Raw genomic sequence first — 16,987 nt, 5'->3', positions numbered from 1 at the left:
CTAATATCTATCTCAGAGACTGCTATGAAGAAATGCTGAGTGTCACAATCTGGGATGGAGATGGTTTGTTGAGGGCTGCGGAGACTGGACAGCATTTCAATGAGAATATGCTGGATAAGGCATTTAGGCTTTGGAAGCTTTGCCTTCCTTAAGGCTGGTACCCAGATTATCCTTTCTCGGTGATTTTTTTCACTATTTATGCTTTTGATTCCTAAGTTTTGTGACACAGCTGTATATTCATTTTTTCCACTTGATAATTATCTCAGGAGATAAAAGAGAGAGATGAGGGTCATGAGGTTATGAGATGAGGGCCACGAGGTCACATTTAGTTACAGAACAAGAATCCCTGCATCAAGTCCTGAAATGTGACTTACATATCACTGGGCAGGATGGAGGCTTATTCAGGATTCAGGAGAGTGAGGCTTGAAACTAGAATTTCCAGGACTCCCATTGTACTGTGGCAGACACAGCACACAGAGAATCTTCCAAACTGGAGGACTAGAAATAAAACAGAACCTACCAGGACCTTTCAGTTAATTTATCTCCCTGATCAGTCAGATCTGGGAGTAACAAACATACAAAAAGCAGCACCAGGCTCTCCTGCACCTCCCCATTGCCCTGTCCCTTTAAGTCTGAATTGCTGGCTGCCCAAGAGGACCATTCTCCTGTGCCCTAGGACTCTGGGGTCCCTCTCCCCAAAACCACAGTGACTGTCTGCAAGGCAGCAATAGCACAATCCAAACACTCTGATGTCTGGGGAACTCATTATAAAAGTGACTCATCAACAATCATACAACTAGTACTTCGACAATCTTGGTTTTTCCCACAGGAATGAAGTCTTTGCATCAGCATAAGGTCCTGGACTGCTCCGTGGTTGAAGAGGACTCATGCCTCATGATCGCATTATGGGGAGGGCCTCAGAACCAATCATGTTTAAGGATGCAGCGTCATGAGACAAATCACTCACACTCCAGGGTCTCTCTGTCCTAACTGCTGAAGGACCTACCTCTGAGGTCTCTTCAGTTTGAATGTTGTGGGAACCATGACTCATTCATTTACTGATTTCTTCAGCAAATACTCAAAGAATGTCTCTCACATGCTAGGAACATGGAATACAGCAGAAACTGGGAACACTACACCTGTAGTGTAAGCCAGTTTTGCCTGCTTTGCAGTACCTGGCTACCCCTGTGTGTTACCCACAAAAAGCTGAGCACCTTCTCCTTGAGGAGATCAGAAGGAAGAGCTTTACTGAAGTAATTTCTGTAGCCCCCTCTTTCTCTCTCCAGAACTTAGTCCATCAACTGACCCAACCTTGCTTTCCTTTTAGAAGGTGAGCCCAAGATGGGCCTTTCTGAAGGTTGGAAGAGAATTGGATATCAAATCCCCCAGGATACCCTAAGACTTGGGCTCTTCAGTAATTCCTAGTTCTGGTGCCCAGTTTGTATCTTTCTCTTAAGGACTCTCTAAGTACCAGCATACTGAGAAATAAATATTTGAAAGCAGGACAGTTTATTGTGGTGTCTTTGACAAGCCAAGTAAGCTGGGAGAGACTGACAAGCATGGAAGAGTTGCCAGGCATTCAGTTCAATTCCACATAATCTCTCTTAAGGCCCTCAAACATTTACCCAACAGAAACTGGAAGTACTTGAGCTCATAAGCTATTAAGATCCAAAGTCCCACAGGCAAGAGATGAATTTACGGCATATTTATCACTGCTTGAGAATGGCCAGTGCATAACTTCGTTAGGACTGTTTGAAATCCTTTAGGGAGCAGCTAAAGGAAGGCTTAAAGTTGGGCAGCAAGTCTTATCGAGACCTTGAAATAATCATTAATCTTGGGCCTTTTTTGTCAATGTCTCTTCTTTATAGTTCTCCTGGTAGCTATTTAAATATGTAGCTCTTTGAAATTAGAAATAGAATGGAATTGAAACCTATGAGAAAGAAAAGGAAACCCGATACTGAAATTGTGAACAGAAAAGTGACTGACTTTTTAAAATATAAGTTTTATTGTGTGTTTATCTGAAGAAAGATGGGTTTAGGGAGAAAAGGCTAAGAAAATCTAGGATGAATGTAGGTTTTTTTCTGACAAAGGAGAAAAATGTATTGACGACTACATCATCTGCACATTTTGACAGTTTTCTCTTTTCTGTTCTGATTTTTATCTCTCTCATTTATTTCTCTTCACATTGCATTTGGTTATGAAATATAATATTCAATACTAACACTTATAGATACATTTTTGTCTTTTTTTCGGACTTTAAATGTTTTTCATGTTTTATTAACCATTAAACATGATGCTTGCTATAGATCTCTGGCAGATATAAGGAAGTTCCCTTCTATTCCTGGTTTGTTTGCAAGTTTATCATAAATGGTCTGTTAAATTTTCAGCTAGTTTCTTTTCTGCATTCATTGACATAATCATATGCTTTTTATTCTCTAAGTTGTTAGGGGTGAATTACATTAAGAAATTTTTAAAATATTGGCTCATTCATACGTTTTAACGGAAACCCCTACTTGATCTTTGTATATACTGCTGAATTCAGTTTACTATTTTTTCATCTATCCATTATTGGCCGATAATTATCTTTTCCAACTTGGCTATTTTTGGTATGAAAGGTTTGCAATTAGCAGCCTCTTTAAATGCTGGCTAAATCTCACACCTTTCTATCCTCTGAGCATGATGTTGTTTTTTGTGTCTTTGTTTTTTGGAAAGAGTAGGTTTTTCACTACTAGCGTTTCCTGTTTTATGGGGTTTTTATTCTAGTACATTTTCTATTTCTTGTCTAATTATGGTAATATATCCTTTTCTCCAAATCTGCCCATTTTATATACCTTTTAAAAATAAATTAGTATAAAGTTGTTCAAAATGTGCTTTTATAAGTATTTTGTTCCTCCGTATCTGTCCTTGTATCCTACTTGATAATGTTTCTTGTGTCTCTTTGATTTTTGTTGATCATGGCTGTTAGGGGTTTCATTTCTAATTAATCTCTTCAACTATCCAAACTTAAAAAATAAAATATCTATTTTTTTAGTTTTCTTTATTTTTGCATTTAAATTCATCATAATTATTTGTTTTTACCTTCTCTAGATTTGCTACTCTTTTGGAAACTTTTTGAATTTAAATATTCATTTATTATTTTCCAGTAAATATATAAAGCAGTTCTGAGAACTGCTTTGGATGTAAGTCATTAGTTTTGTAGTCTTTTTGTGAAGCCGTAGTAGTATATATTTTAAAATTTTATTTTTGTTTCTTCTTTAACTCATAGTTTATTTAAATGCTTATGTTAAGAGAAAAAGCTTAATACAGGAGTCAAGAGCACTTGTCTCTCTCTGCCACTCACTAACTACATAACCTTAGATATATTGCTCAGTCTCTCTGTGCTTCAATTTTATTTGTATACTGAGAGGAATAATACTACCTATCTCAAGCAGTATTAAAGACTGAATGAGTAAATATTTCAAAGTGCTTAGAATAATGGTTAACATATAGTAAGTGCTATACACGTGTTTATTAAATATCTATGATGTATATAGATCTTTGAAGGTTAATGGAGAAGAGTTTGGCTACTTCTTTTTTGGTTGATTTCTTATTTTATTGCATTGTGGTCCATGAAAAAAATATTTACATAATATCAATATTGAGACATCCTTTGGGATCAAAAGAGTGAACATTCTCTTTATGAAGGTTTGAGCTTTAGATTAGGCCTGTTAATTATTGCTACAACTCTTTTAAGTCCTACTAAACCATTGAATGTTTTGTTAGTTTCAAAAAAAAAATGTTGTCTCCAGCTATGATTGTGTGTTTGTCAATTTATCTTAGTAGTTTTATCAGTTTTTGCATAGTACATTTTAAAACTAAGTTGTTAGGGCCTTATACATTCATAAATGGAGTATCTTCCTGGTGAATTATTTTATCAACATCATAAGTTCCTTAGTTGTTTTCACTTTAAATAATATTTTGTTTGTTATGAGCAATATTACAACAATTTTCTTTTTGTTTTCATCTGCTCGAATACCATTTTCAGCCTCTTTATTTTCCAACTTTTTGTCATTTTAATATACATTTTAAAAAATTGAAGTGGTAGATTATTAAAATTCAGTCTGAGAGCCTCTGTGTTTCCATTAATTAGCTTAATCCATTCATATTTATTGTAATTAAATAAATTTTTGAATATTACTTACACCATATTTTATATTTTTTATTTACTAGGTTTTCCTAATATCTACTTGTTTCTTAGCCAGCCTTTTGGTTAATTGTTTTTTAAAATTTGTTTCCATTGTTTACTATGCACACTATGCAGTTAGATATCCACCATTTCTATTTCTCCAGCATTCATCCTTAATTTTTACAGTTTAATTTTATTTTTGCTAAATAATCCAAATATAGAATTTAAGATGTGAAATAGCACTACATTATTTTAAAAGTTAGTTATTATTCACACATAATTCTTGCCTTTTGGAGGCAGCCACTTTCAGTTCTTTTACCTGTTTCTTATGTTATGCATCTTTATGTTTCTGTTATATTGTATAAAATATGCACATAATGATATTTCTTGATTTCTAAATGTTAGGCATTCTCTCTTGACTTCCTAGCTCATTTACAACACCATCTCTGTGTACATGAACACAAACACACCCACATACTTCTCCTGTCATCCTTTCAGTAAAAATTAAATCTATTTTCAGAACATACATTATTATGATATGAACATATTTTTCACAACTGAGCCATGCAGCTTACTATAAGTTCCTATCTCTTTCTTTGCAATTTTTTTCTTGCTAATTTTTTGTAATTGAACTCTGTTATTAAGTTTTCGAGTATCTTGAATCAATTCTCAAACTCTCCATCAGAACTATAAAGCCTTTTCTCTATAGATACAGTTAGATACAGTCAAATACATGAGATAATCTCCCCAGGTCATATTTATTTAGTTATTTATTTAGCCTTCTAGTTATTTTGTTTCTTTTTGGCCTAATACCACCATTCTGAAGTTCTTTACTCTCCTGAAATCTGAATTTGATTGTTCTTTAGGACTGCTGCATGATTATAGTGCTGGAGCTTTTCCTCACCAAAATGCTGGGATTTTCTTGTCTCTCACCTGTGTTAGTTTCCCTGCTTCCTAGATCCCTCATTTTGATGGAGAACCTCTTCAATAACTATCTGAGAACAAGAACATGGGATGTAAATTTTTTGAAACGTCCACTTCTCTAAAAATATGTTTATTGTATCCACATATGTTGTATTTTGTTGGATGTATTAATCTATTTTAGAAATAATTTTATATCACAATTTTGAAGGCATTGTTTCATTGTTTACCAAATTCTAGTGTAATTGTTGAAAAGTCTAATTTCATTTAAAGTCTCAGTCTTTTAACACGATGTGTTTTTCTCCCTTTCTTTGTCTGGAAACTCTTAGCATTTTTCTTTATCCCTAGAATTTTGATGTGACATGATGGTACTCTTCAATGTGTGTTCCTTTCTTATTTTCTTTCTTGCTATGTTAGTTACTCAATCTGGCAATTTATATTTTTCAAGTATTTTGAAATACTGTTTTCCTTGATGCTGTTCTTCCTCTATTTTTCTGTTTGGAACTCATATTTGTTGGACATTCTACCTCTTCTATCAATCTTCACATTGTTTTGTCTCTTATTTCCTAACTTTTTAATCTTTTTATTACATTTTCTAGAAGGCTTCCTCAAAATTATCTTCCAATTTGTTAATGTATCATTGAAAGAAATTGTCTTATTTTCCAAAGTTTTCTTTTTGTAGAAGCCTGTTTTTATTTCACGGACACACTCAGTTCTTTCATCTCATTGAGGATATTAAACATGTGTGCATACACATCCTATGTATATATACACACACATACATGTATTTCAATATACATATATGTATACTTATATATTTATATTATATATTTACATATTTATATATAATACATACTTAATTTGAATATATGTATATTCATGTACATGTATACACATATATGCACATATACATATATGCATATTTACATGCATTTAAATCATATGTATGTGCATATTAACACATATATAAATATTAAATTATTTCCTCTTTAATGCATTATCTCTATTTTTTTCCAACTTTTAAATTTTTTCTGTTTGCTTGTTCCAGTGTGGCTTTTTTTTTTTTGGAGATGGAGTCTTGCTCTGTCACCCATGCTAGAGTGCAGTGGCATGATCTCTGCTCAATACAACCTCCGTCTCCTGGATTCAAGCGATTCTCCTGCTTCAGCCTCCTGAGTAGCTGGGATTACGGGCACCTGCCACCTCACCCGGCTAATTTTTTGTATTTTTATTAGAGATGGGATTTCACCATCTTGGCCAGGCTGGTCTTGAACTCCTGACCTAGTGACCCACTCGCCTCAGCCTCCCAAACTGCTGGGATTACAGATGTAGTGTGGCTTTTAATGTTAGAAACCACCTTGGCTGTCCATTCATATCTAATAAAAAAGCTCTAATAAGCCAATTGAAAGTTCTGGGTGTGTTTCTTGTATTGACAGCAATACAATGGCAAGTAGTTTTCATTAGGAAGCACCCAGACGTCAGTATCTATAAGTTTATTCTCTCAGAATTCTTCTTTTCCCTAGGAAGAATTCCTTTAATGTTCTTTCTGGTGGTTGTAAACCTTGTTGCCAGAATTGTGGGAGTCAAAGAAGGAAAAGGAGACTGGAGGAAAGTCTCTCCGCATGGTTTGTAGAATTTTCTTAATCTCCTCATTGTCTACACTGCACTTCTTCTCCAACTTTCAAACCCTTCTGGAAAATGTAAATCTGCAGTATTTTACTTGAATATGGGAAGTACAGTGAGTTATATTAGAAATGTGCAATCCTGGGCTTAGGGAGACTAAATCTGCTATAATATGCAGTATGCCTGCCTGCTCTTTGCTCCACAGGGAGACACTGTCTCTGTCTCTGTGTTTCAAGGCTGTTCCCTATACAAATATCTTTGAAATCATATAGATCAATGGATCATCAGTGCCTGTCCTCACAAGATGTACAGAAATGTAAGAGGCCCACAGAGAATTGTCACAGTCAATTCAAGCATGTAAACCAAAAGCTAAATGGGAAAGAAGATATATTGTGTGTGGCAGTGGATGGGGTAAATATTGGCCTCTATAATAAAGTGTAGAAGCATTGTCATCACCTGTAGGAGAAAAGCAGCATGGCTTTTATAAGGGAGATATGTTCTTTAAGAGGCTACATGAACCATCTGTTGTATAAAGAAAAAAAATGTATTTTCGGTTTTGAAAAATTGGAAAGGATTGAAATAGAAGAGGGGCTTCAAGATGGCTGACTAGATGCATCTGGTATTCACCTCTTCCACGGAGAGGAACCAAATTAGTGAGTATATAATTACTTTGAATAGCTCATTTGAGAACACTAGAATTCAACAGAACAGTTATAGGAAGCACCAGAAGCAAGGAAAGAGAGGGAAGCAATGTAGCCTGTTCAGCTGGGATCTGCTGGCAGCCTGAAGAGGTTCCCTAATGTGGGGAAAGAGTAAGCGAAAAGCCCCCCAGTGGTCCTCATTTTCACCCAAGACTCCTACAACTCTAGCCATAGGAAAGGAGCTCAACCCTAGTAAGGTTCGAAACTTACATAGGGAACTTCCTGGGGACTACACAAAGGCACTGCTCTAGAGGGAGCTCATGCTGGGTCCCACAACCCCCAGAGTCTTGTGCAGCTGCAATACAGCATCATTTTGAGAGCCCAGCCTCCACCAGTCTCTGTCCTGCCCTAGGGCTTAACAGCTTCTGCATCTCCACATCCCTGAAGCCCCACTGACATTCTGTACCTACCGCTGCTACTCCTGGGATCAAGGTGGGAACCATGGGCAGAGACCCCTGCATCTCACCTGCGGAGGGATGGCTGCACACTTTTAAGTGCCCCAAGGAAAAATTCCACAGCTCGCAGCTGCCTCCATTGCAGGCTGGTGCAAGGTTGAGGCACAAGCAATATGCACAGTCCCCAGCAACATGCCTAAGGTTGCTTCCACTGAAAGCAACTCCACCCTCCTCAGTAGTAGGGCCACAGTGCAGTCACTGCTGCCCCATCTAAGCATTCTTCTGGGGGCCTAGGGATCACCCTGTCTCTCCCTACAAAAGCCAATACCTGAATGCACCACTGGGGAGACTGCCCAGCCCAGATCCACCAACTCCAGTACTCGGCACACCGTTTGAGGCCTGGAAATCACCCAGCCCAGCCTAACAGTGTTTGGCACCTGAGCACACTACTGTTGGGGTCTGAGGTCAAGCCCACTCAACCTGCAGCTACAACAGATAGCATCACATGAATGTGCCACCTGCAGGCCTGTACAGCGCATTGCAGCAACTGCCAACATCACCGTGGACTGCTTGGGTCCCAGAGGGTTGTCCTGCCACTATTACTGTCATTGCCCATGCCACGCCTGACGCCCAGGTGCTTAAGAACCTGCCCACCCTCCCTGCCACTGCTGGTACCCAAGCAAGTCACCTGGAGCCCCAAGAATCAGCCTGCTTGCACAAGTTAAAATCAGTGCCAGCGTACGTCACCATGGGGCCATGAACAGGCATGATTATCCCACTGCCATCACCACCCAGGCCCAAAGACTAGCTCACCTGGCATTCCAGTTCCTACCCAAACTTCACCACAGCCTCTACTAACTACTACACCATAAGCCACTGAGGAAATCACAGAAACCACTGACATTGTACAGCTAAATAAGTCATAGAGACACTACACCACTGTATGCACCCACGATCCAAGCCACAGTGCCCTAACCAACCAATACCATAGATATATCTTCAGGAAAAATTCCACACCCATGAGAACAAATTCAAAAAATTGGAAAAAGCAACTATTGCACCAGATGTGCAGATATCAATGGAAGAACACAGGAAACATGAAATTAATACAACACCTTTGAAGGAACATAAAAATTCTCCAGCAAGAGATCCAAATCAAAAAGAAATTTGCCAAATCCCCAAAAAAGAATTTAAAATATTGATACTCAAGAATCTCAGTGAGATAAAAGAGATGACTGAAAACAATATAAAAAATCAGAAAAAAATCAGGATGTGAATTTTAAAATTACTGAAGTCATAGATAACATAAAAAAGAACCTAACAGAAATTCTAAAATTGAAGAATTCATTAAATAAAATACAAAATACATTTGAAATCTTCAGCAATAGACTAGATCAAGCAGACAAAAAATCTCAAAACTTAAAAATGGGCCTTTTGAAATAACTCAGGCAAAAATTTTTTAAAAGAATAAAAAAGAATTACAAAGCCTATCTGACATATGGGGAACCAGAAAGTGACCAAGTACTCAAATTTGTGGTATCTCAGAAGACAAGAAGAAAACAAAAGGTTTAGAAACCTATTTAATGAAATAATAGATTAAAAACTTCCCAAGTCTAGCAAGTTATTTGGGAACATCAAGATACAGGAGTCTCAAAGATTCACAAATAGATACAATTTAAGAAGGTCTCCATGGCACGTTGTACTCAAAATGTCAAAAGTCAAAGAAAAAGACAAAATTCTAAGAACAGCAAGAGAAAAGCATCTAGTCACTTATAAAGGAACTTTGATCAGACTAACAGCATATTTCTCAGCAGAAACCATGCAGACCATGAGATAATAGTATGATGTATTCAAAGTGCTGAAAAAAAAAACCTACTAACCAAGGATTTTATGCCTAACAAAGTTATCCTTCATATATAAAGGAGAAATAGAGTCCTCTCCAAATAAGCAAATTTATCACCTTTAGACTGATCCCACAAGAAATGCTTAAGGGAGTCCTATGGGAGTCCTATGCCTGGTAGCAAAAGAAAGATTACTGTCACTAAAATACATGAAAATGTAAAAACCACTGATTTAGCAAACAAATAAGGAAGAGAAAATATTCAAATGTTACCACTACAAAATTCCAGCAAACCACAATAATAAACAACAAGAGAGAAAGAAAGAAACAAAGAATATACAAAACAACCAGAAATCAATTAATAAAATTACAGGAATATGCCCTCATCTATCCATAATAAACTTAAATGTAAATACATTGAACTTCCCACTTAAAAGATATAGACTAGCTGAGTAGAATAAACAATATGACCCAATGATATGCTGCCTATGAAAATTATCTTACCAGGAAAGAAGCGTGTAGACTGAAAGTAAGGGAATAGAAAAATATACTCTATGGCAAATGGAAACCAAAGTGAGCAGGAAAAAACTATACTTATATCAGACAAAACAGACTTTAAGTCAAAAACAGTAAAAAGAGACAAAGAAGGTCATTATATAATAACAACAGAGAAATTCAGCAATGGGATATAAAAATTATAAACATATATGCACCAACATCAGAGCATCCATATACAAAAAATATTATTACATCTAAAGAGAGAGAGAGACTCCAATACAATAGTAGTTGGAGACTTCAACGCCCTACTTTCATCATTAGATAGATCATCCAGAAGGAAAAGTAAAAATAAAAAATGAATTTAAGTTGCATATTTAACCAAATGAACCGAAAAGGCATTTACAAAGCATTTCATCCAACAACTACAGAATACACATTCCATTTATCAGCACAAGAAACATTCTCCAAAATAGATCATATGTTAGGACACAAAACAAGTCTCAACAAATTGAATAATACTGAAATCATATCAAATGTCTTCTGAGACTACAGTGGAATAAAACTAGAAATCAAGAGGAACTTTGGAAACTGTACAAATACATGTAATTTAAGCAACATGCTCCTTGTGTTAGTATGTTCTCACTCTGCTAATAAAGGCATACCTGAGACTGGGTAATTTATAAAGAAAAAGAGGTTTAATAGACTCACAGTTCCATGTGGCTGGGGAGGCCTCACAATCATGGCAGAAAATGAAAGGCATGTCTTACATGGCAGCAAGCAAGACAGAAAACTTGTGCAGGCAAACTCCCATTTATAAAACCATCAGATCTCATGAGACTTATTCACTATCACAAGAACAGCATGGGAAAGACCCACCCCCATGATTCAATTACCTCCCACTGGGTTTCTCCCATGACACATGGGAATTATGGGAGCTATAATTTAAGCTAAGATTTGGGTAGGGTCAGAGTCAAACCATATCATTCTGCCCCTGGACCCTCCCAAATCTCATGTTCTCACATTTCAAAACCAATCATGCCTTCCCAACAGCTCCACAAAGTCTTAACTCATTTCAGCATTAACTCAAAAGTCCACAGCTTAAAATCTCATCTGAGCCAAGCCAAGTCCCCTTTGCCTGTGAGCCTGTATAATCAAAAGCAAGTTAGTTACTTCCTAGGTACAATGGGGTTGCAAGCATTGGGTAAATACACTCATTCTAAATAGGATAAATTGGCCAAAATGAAGGGGCTACAGGCCCCATGCAAGTCTGAAATCCCATGGGGCAGTCAAATCTTAAAGCTCCAAAATGATCTACTTTGACTCAATGTCTCACATCCAGGTCACACTGATGCAAGAGGTGGGTTCCCATGATCTTGGGCAGCTCCACCCCTGTGGCTTTGCAAGGTACAACCTCCCTTCTAGCTGTTTTCACGTGCTGGTGTTGAAGGTCTGTGGCTTTTCCAGGTGCTCAGTGCAAGCTGTTGGTAGATCTACCATTCTGAGGTCTGGAGGACAGTGTCCCTCTTCTCATAGCTCCACTAGCCAGTGTCCCAGTAAGGACTTTGTGTGGGGGCTTCAACCACGCATTTTCCTGCCACACTGCCCAAGCAGAGGTTCTCTGTGAAGGCCCCACCCCTGCAGCAAACTTCTGCCTGGATATCCAGGTGTTTCTGTACATCCTGTGAAATCTAGGCAGAGGTTCCCAAGCCTCGATTCTTGACTTCTGTTCACCTGCAGGCTCGACACCACATGGCAGCTGCCAAGGTATGGGGATTGCACCATCTGAAGCTATGACCTGAGCTGTACCTTGGTCCCTTTTAACCATGGCTAGGGTGGCTGGGACTCAGGGCACCAATAGACTGTGCATAACAGGGGTCCCTGGAGCTGGCCCAGGAAACCCCTTTTTCCTCCTAAGCCTCCTGGCCTGTGGTGGGAGGGGCTGCTGCAAAGGTCTCTAACATGTCCTGGAGACATCTTCCCCACTGTCTTGGCAATTAACATTTGGCTCCTTGTTACTTAAGAAAACTTCTCCAGCTGGCTTGAATTTCTCCTCAGAAAATGGAAGTTTCTTTTCTATTGCATTGTCAGACTGCAAATTTTCTGAACTTTTATGTTGCTTCCCTTTTAAAACTAAATGCTTTTAACAGCACCAAAGTCACCTCTTGAATGCTTTGCTGCTTAGAAATTTCTTCCACGAGATACCCTAAATCATCTCCCTCAAGTTCAAAGTTCCACAAATCTCTGGGGCAGGGGCATAATGATGCAAGTCTCTTTGCTAAAATATAACAAGAATCACCTTTACTCCAGTTCCCAACAGGTTTCTCATCTCCATCTGAGACCACCACAGCCTGGATTTCATTGTCCATATCATTATAAGAATTTTGGTAAAAGCCAGTCAATATGTTTCTAGGTAGTTCCAAACTTTCCCACATTTTCCTGTCTTCTTCTAAGCCCTCCAAACTGTTCCAACCTCTGCCTGTTACCCAGTTCCAAAGTTGCTTTTACATTTTTAGGTATCTATACAGCAGCACCCTACTCCTGGTACCAATTTACTGTTAGTCTTTTCTTGCACTGCTAATAAAGACTGCCTGAGACTGGTTAATTATAAAGAAAAAGAAGTTTAGTGGACTCATAGTTCCACGTGGCTGAGGAGGCAGAAAGTGAAAGGCATGTCTTACATGACAGCAGACAAGAGAGAAAACTTGTGCAGGACAACTTCCACTTTTAAAAACATCAGATCTCGTAAGACTTATTCACTATTATGAGAAGAGTATGAGAAAGACCTGCTCCCATGATTCAATTACCTCTCACCATGTTTCTCCCATGACGTGTGGGAATTATGGGAACTACAATTTAAGATGAGATTTGGGTGTGGTCAGAGTCAAACCATATCACTCCTCAAAGGCCATTTGATCAAGAAAGGAATTGTGGAGGAAATAAGATTTATTGAAAGAAATAAAATGGAAACACAACATACCAAGACTTGTGGGAGACAGCAAAAGCAGTGCTAAGAGGGAATTTTATAGAAATAAACACATATAGAAAAAAGTAGATTTTAAATAAACAATCTAATGATTTACTTCAATGAACTAGAAAAACAAGAACAAAACAAATTCAAAATTAGTAGAAGAAATAATAAAGATCAAAGCAGAACTAAATGAAATAGAGACCTAAAAAACAAAAAATCAATGAAATGAAATGTTTTTAATAGATAAACAAAATCAATAAACTGCTAGATGGACTAACCAAGAGAAAAAGAGAGAAGACCCAAATAAATAAAATCAGAAATGAAAAAGGAGACATTACAACTGATACCACAGAATTAGAAAAGATTATTGGAGACTATTATGAGCAATACACACTAACAAATAGGAAACCTAGAGGAAATGAATAAATTTCTAGACTCATATCACCTACCAAGACTTGAATCAGGAAGAAATAAAAAACTTGAACACACTTATAATGAGTAATGAGATTGGATCAACAATAACAGGCCTCCTAACAAAGAAAATCCCAGAATTGGATGGCTTCACTGAAAAATACCACCAAACTTTCAAAAAGGAACTAACATCAATTTCCTCAAATTATTTCAAAAAAATTAAAAGAGAAAATTTTCTCTAACTCATTGTATGAGGCAGCATTACCCTAATACTAAAACCAGACAAGGATGCAACAAAAAAGAAAACTACAGTAAAATGCTCCTGATGAACACAGATACAAAAATTCTAAACAAAATACTAGCAAACCAAAACCAACAGCACATCAAAAAAAAAAAAGGACAAAAACAATATGATCATCTCAATAGATGAAGAAAAATTATTTTGCAATATTCCCCCATGATAAAAAAAGTCTCAAGAAACTAGGCAAAGAAAGATCATACCTGAGCATAATATAGGCCACTTATGACAAACCCACAGCTAACATTGTACTGAATGGGGAAAACCTGAAAGCCTTTTATCTAAGAACTGGAACAAGACAAGGATTCTCCCTTTCACCGTTCTTATTTGATGTAGTAATAGAAGTCGCAGCCAGAGCAATCAAACAAGAGAAAACTAAGATACTCAAACTGGACAAGAATAAATCAAATTGTCACTCTTTGCTGATGATATAATCTTACATCTAGAAAAACCTAAAGACTCCACCAAAAAAAACCTCTTAAATCTACAAATAAATTTAGTAAAGTTGTAAGATACAAAATCAACACACAAAAATCAATGGCATTTTTATACATGAATAGTGACCTAGTGAATTCTTTATTTCTTTAATAAAGAAGGCAATCCCATTTACAATAACTGAAAAAAAACTAGGAATAAATTTAACAAAGGAGGTGAAAGAGCTTTGCAAGAAAAACTATAAAACATTGATGAAAGAAATTTAAGAGGACACAACAAATGAAAAGATGTCTCGTTCATAAATTAAACAATTAATTATCATTAAATAATTAATCACATTAATATTTTCATGTTCTTAAAATAATTAATATCATTAACATATTACTAAAAGTGAATATTAGTCATATCGTTTAAAATTAATTACCATATTCATATCATTAAAATTACCATATTGCCCAAAGTGATCTATAGATCCAATGCAATCTCCATTCAAATATCAATGTCATATTTCACAGAATTAGAAAAAGCAATCCAAAAATTTGTATGGAACCAAAAAAGAGCTTGAATAGCCAAAGCAATCTTGAGCACAAACAACAAAGCTAGAGGCATCACCTGACCTGACTTCAAAATGTGTTACAGGGCTATCATAACCAAAATAGCATGGTATTAGTATAAAAACAGACACACAGGCCAGTGAAACAGAATAGAGAATTCAGAAATGCATTCATTTATTCACAGTCAACTGATTTTAGACAAAGGCACTAAGAACATGCATTGGGAAAAGGATACCTTCTTCAATAAGTGGTACTGGGAAAATTGGATGTCCATATGCAGAAGAATAAAAGTGGGCTTCTATCTCTCACCATATAAAAAAATCAACTCAAGATGGATCAAAGACTTGAATGTAAGACCCAAAACTATGAAATAACTAGAAGAAAACGTAGGGAAAACCCTTCAGAATACTGATGCAGGCAAAGATTTATGTATAATGAAGATCGCAAAAGCATAGATAAAAACAAACAGATAAATTGAACTCTATTAAACTAAATAGCTTCTTCACAGCAAAGGAAACAATCAAAAGTTGAGAAACAACACATTGAATGGGAGTATATATTTGCAAACTATTCATCCCACAAGGGACTAATATCCAGAATATACAAGGAACTCACCTCAACAGTAAAAATAAAAATCCAATTAAAAAGTGGGCAAAGGACAAGAATAGACATTTTTCAAAAGAAGATATACAAATGACCAACCATACATGAAAAAATGCTTAATATCACTAATCATCAGGGAAATTCAAATCAAAACCACAATGAGATATATCATCTTACCCTGGTTAGAATGGCTATTACTAAAATTAATAAATAACAGAAGATGCCAAGAAAAGGGAACTCTTATACAATATTGGTGGGAACGTAAATTAGTACAGTTGCTATAGAAAACAGTATGACATTTCTCAAAAGCTAAAAATAGAACTACCATATGATCCAGCAATTCTGCTGTTGGGTATATGTTCAAAAGAAAGGAAATCAATATATTGAAGAGATATCTACACTTTCATGTTTATTGCAACACTCTTCAAAATAGCTAAGATATGGAATTCACCTAAGTGGCCATCAACTGACAAATGTACAAAGTAAATGTGGTATGTAAACACAATGGAATACTGTTTGACCATAAAAAGAATGAAATCCCATCATTTGAAGCAACATGGATGGAACTGGAGGTCATTAAGTGAAATAAGCCAGACACAAAAAGAAAAATTTTACATGTCCTCTCTCATATGTGGGAGCTACAAAAGTTGATTTCATCGAGGTAGAGAACAGAACGGTAGACACGAAAGCCTAGGAATGGTGTGTGGGTAGGAGGGTGGTGATGAAGAGAAGTTGGTCAATGGGTACAAACATACAGTTAGAAGTTATAAATTCTCATGGTCCACAGCAGGTTAGGGTGACTGCAGCTAGTAACAACGTATTGTAAATTTCAAAGTAGCTAGAAGAGAGGACTTGAAATGTTTCCAACACATAGAAATGATAAATACTGAAGGTGATAGATACCCTAAATACGCTGATTTGATCATTATACATTCACTGCATGTAACAAATACTCACATGTACCCCATAAATATGTAAAATATTATGTGCCAATTTAAAAACCTAAAAAACCCATTAAATAAGTGTGAACTATACATACATTTAAGAAAGATTAATAAAAACAAGCAATATATTTTTTTATTTTTATTTATTTACTTTTTTATTTTATTTTATTATTATTATACTTTAAGTTTTAGGGTACATGTGCACAATGTGCAGGTTAGTTACATATGTGTACATGTGCCATGCTGGTGTGCTGCACCCATTAACTCATCATTTAGCATTAGGTATATCTCCTAATGCTATCCCTCCCCCCTCCCCCTACCCCACAACAGTCCCTAGAGTGTGATGTTCCCCTTCCTGTGTCCATGTGTTCTCATTGTTCAATTCCGACCTATGAGTGAGAACATTTGGTGTTTGGTTTTTTGTTCTTGTGATAGCTTACTGAGAATGATGATTTCCCATTTCATCCATGTCCCTGCAAAGGACATGAACTCATCATTTTTTATGGTTGCATAGTATTCCATGGTGTATATGTGCCACATTTTCTTAATCCAATCTATCATTGTTGGACATTTGGGTTGGTTCCAAGTCTTTGCTATTGTGAATAGTGCCACAATAAACATACGTGTGCAT

General features: G+C 36.4%; 1 protein-coding gene across 2 annotated transcripts in view, besides 1 other annotated feature; it reads right to left on the bottom strand.

Annotated features, from left to right (window-relative positions):
* The window catches only part of OR10J1 (olfactory receptor family 10 subfamily J member 1), a 43,503-nt gene that overhangs the window by 10,599 nt on the left and 15,917 nt on the right, over positions 1 to 16,987 (bottom strand). The gene's annotated exons all lie outside the window — the stretch shown is intronic.
* Positions 636 to 930: a silencer, noted in NCBI's record as "tiled region #7346; K562 Repressive non-DNase unmatched - State 24:Quies". NCBI's record gives its function as "represses a minimal TATA promoter and a strong SV40 promoter by Sharpr-MPRA in K562 cells {active_cell/tissue: K562}" and the evidence as "EXISTENCE:reporter gene assay evidence [ECO:0000049][PMID:27701403]".

The sequence above is a fragment of the Homo sapiens genome, chromosome 1 (genome assembly GCF_000001405.40).
Source record: "Homo sapiens chromosome 1, GRCh38.p14 Primary Assembly".
Lineage (NCBI taxonomy): Eukaryota > Metazoa > Chordata > Mammalia > Primates > Hominidae > Homo > Homo sapiens.
This window is presented reverse-complemented; position numbering and strand designations above follow the sequence as displayed.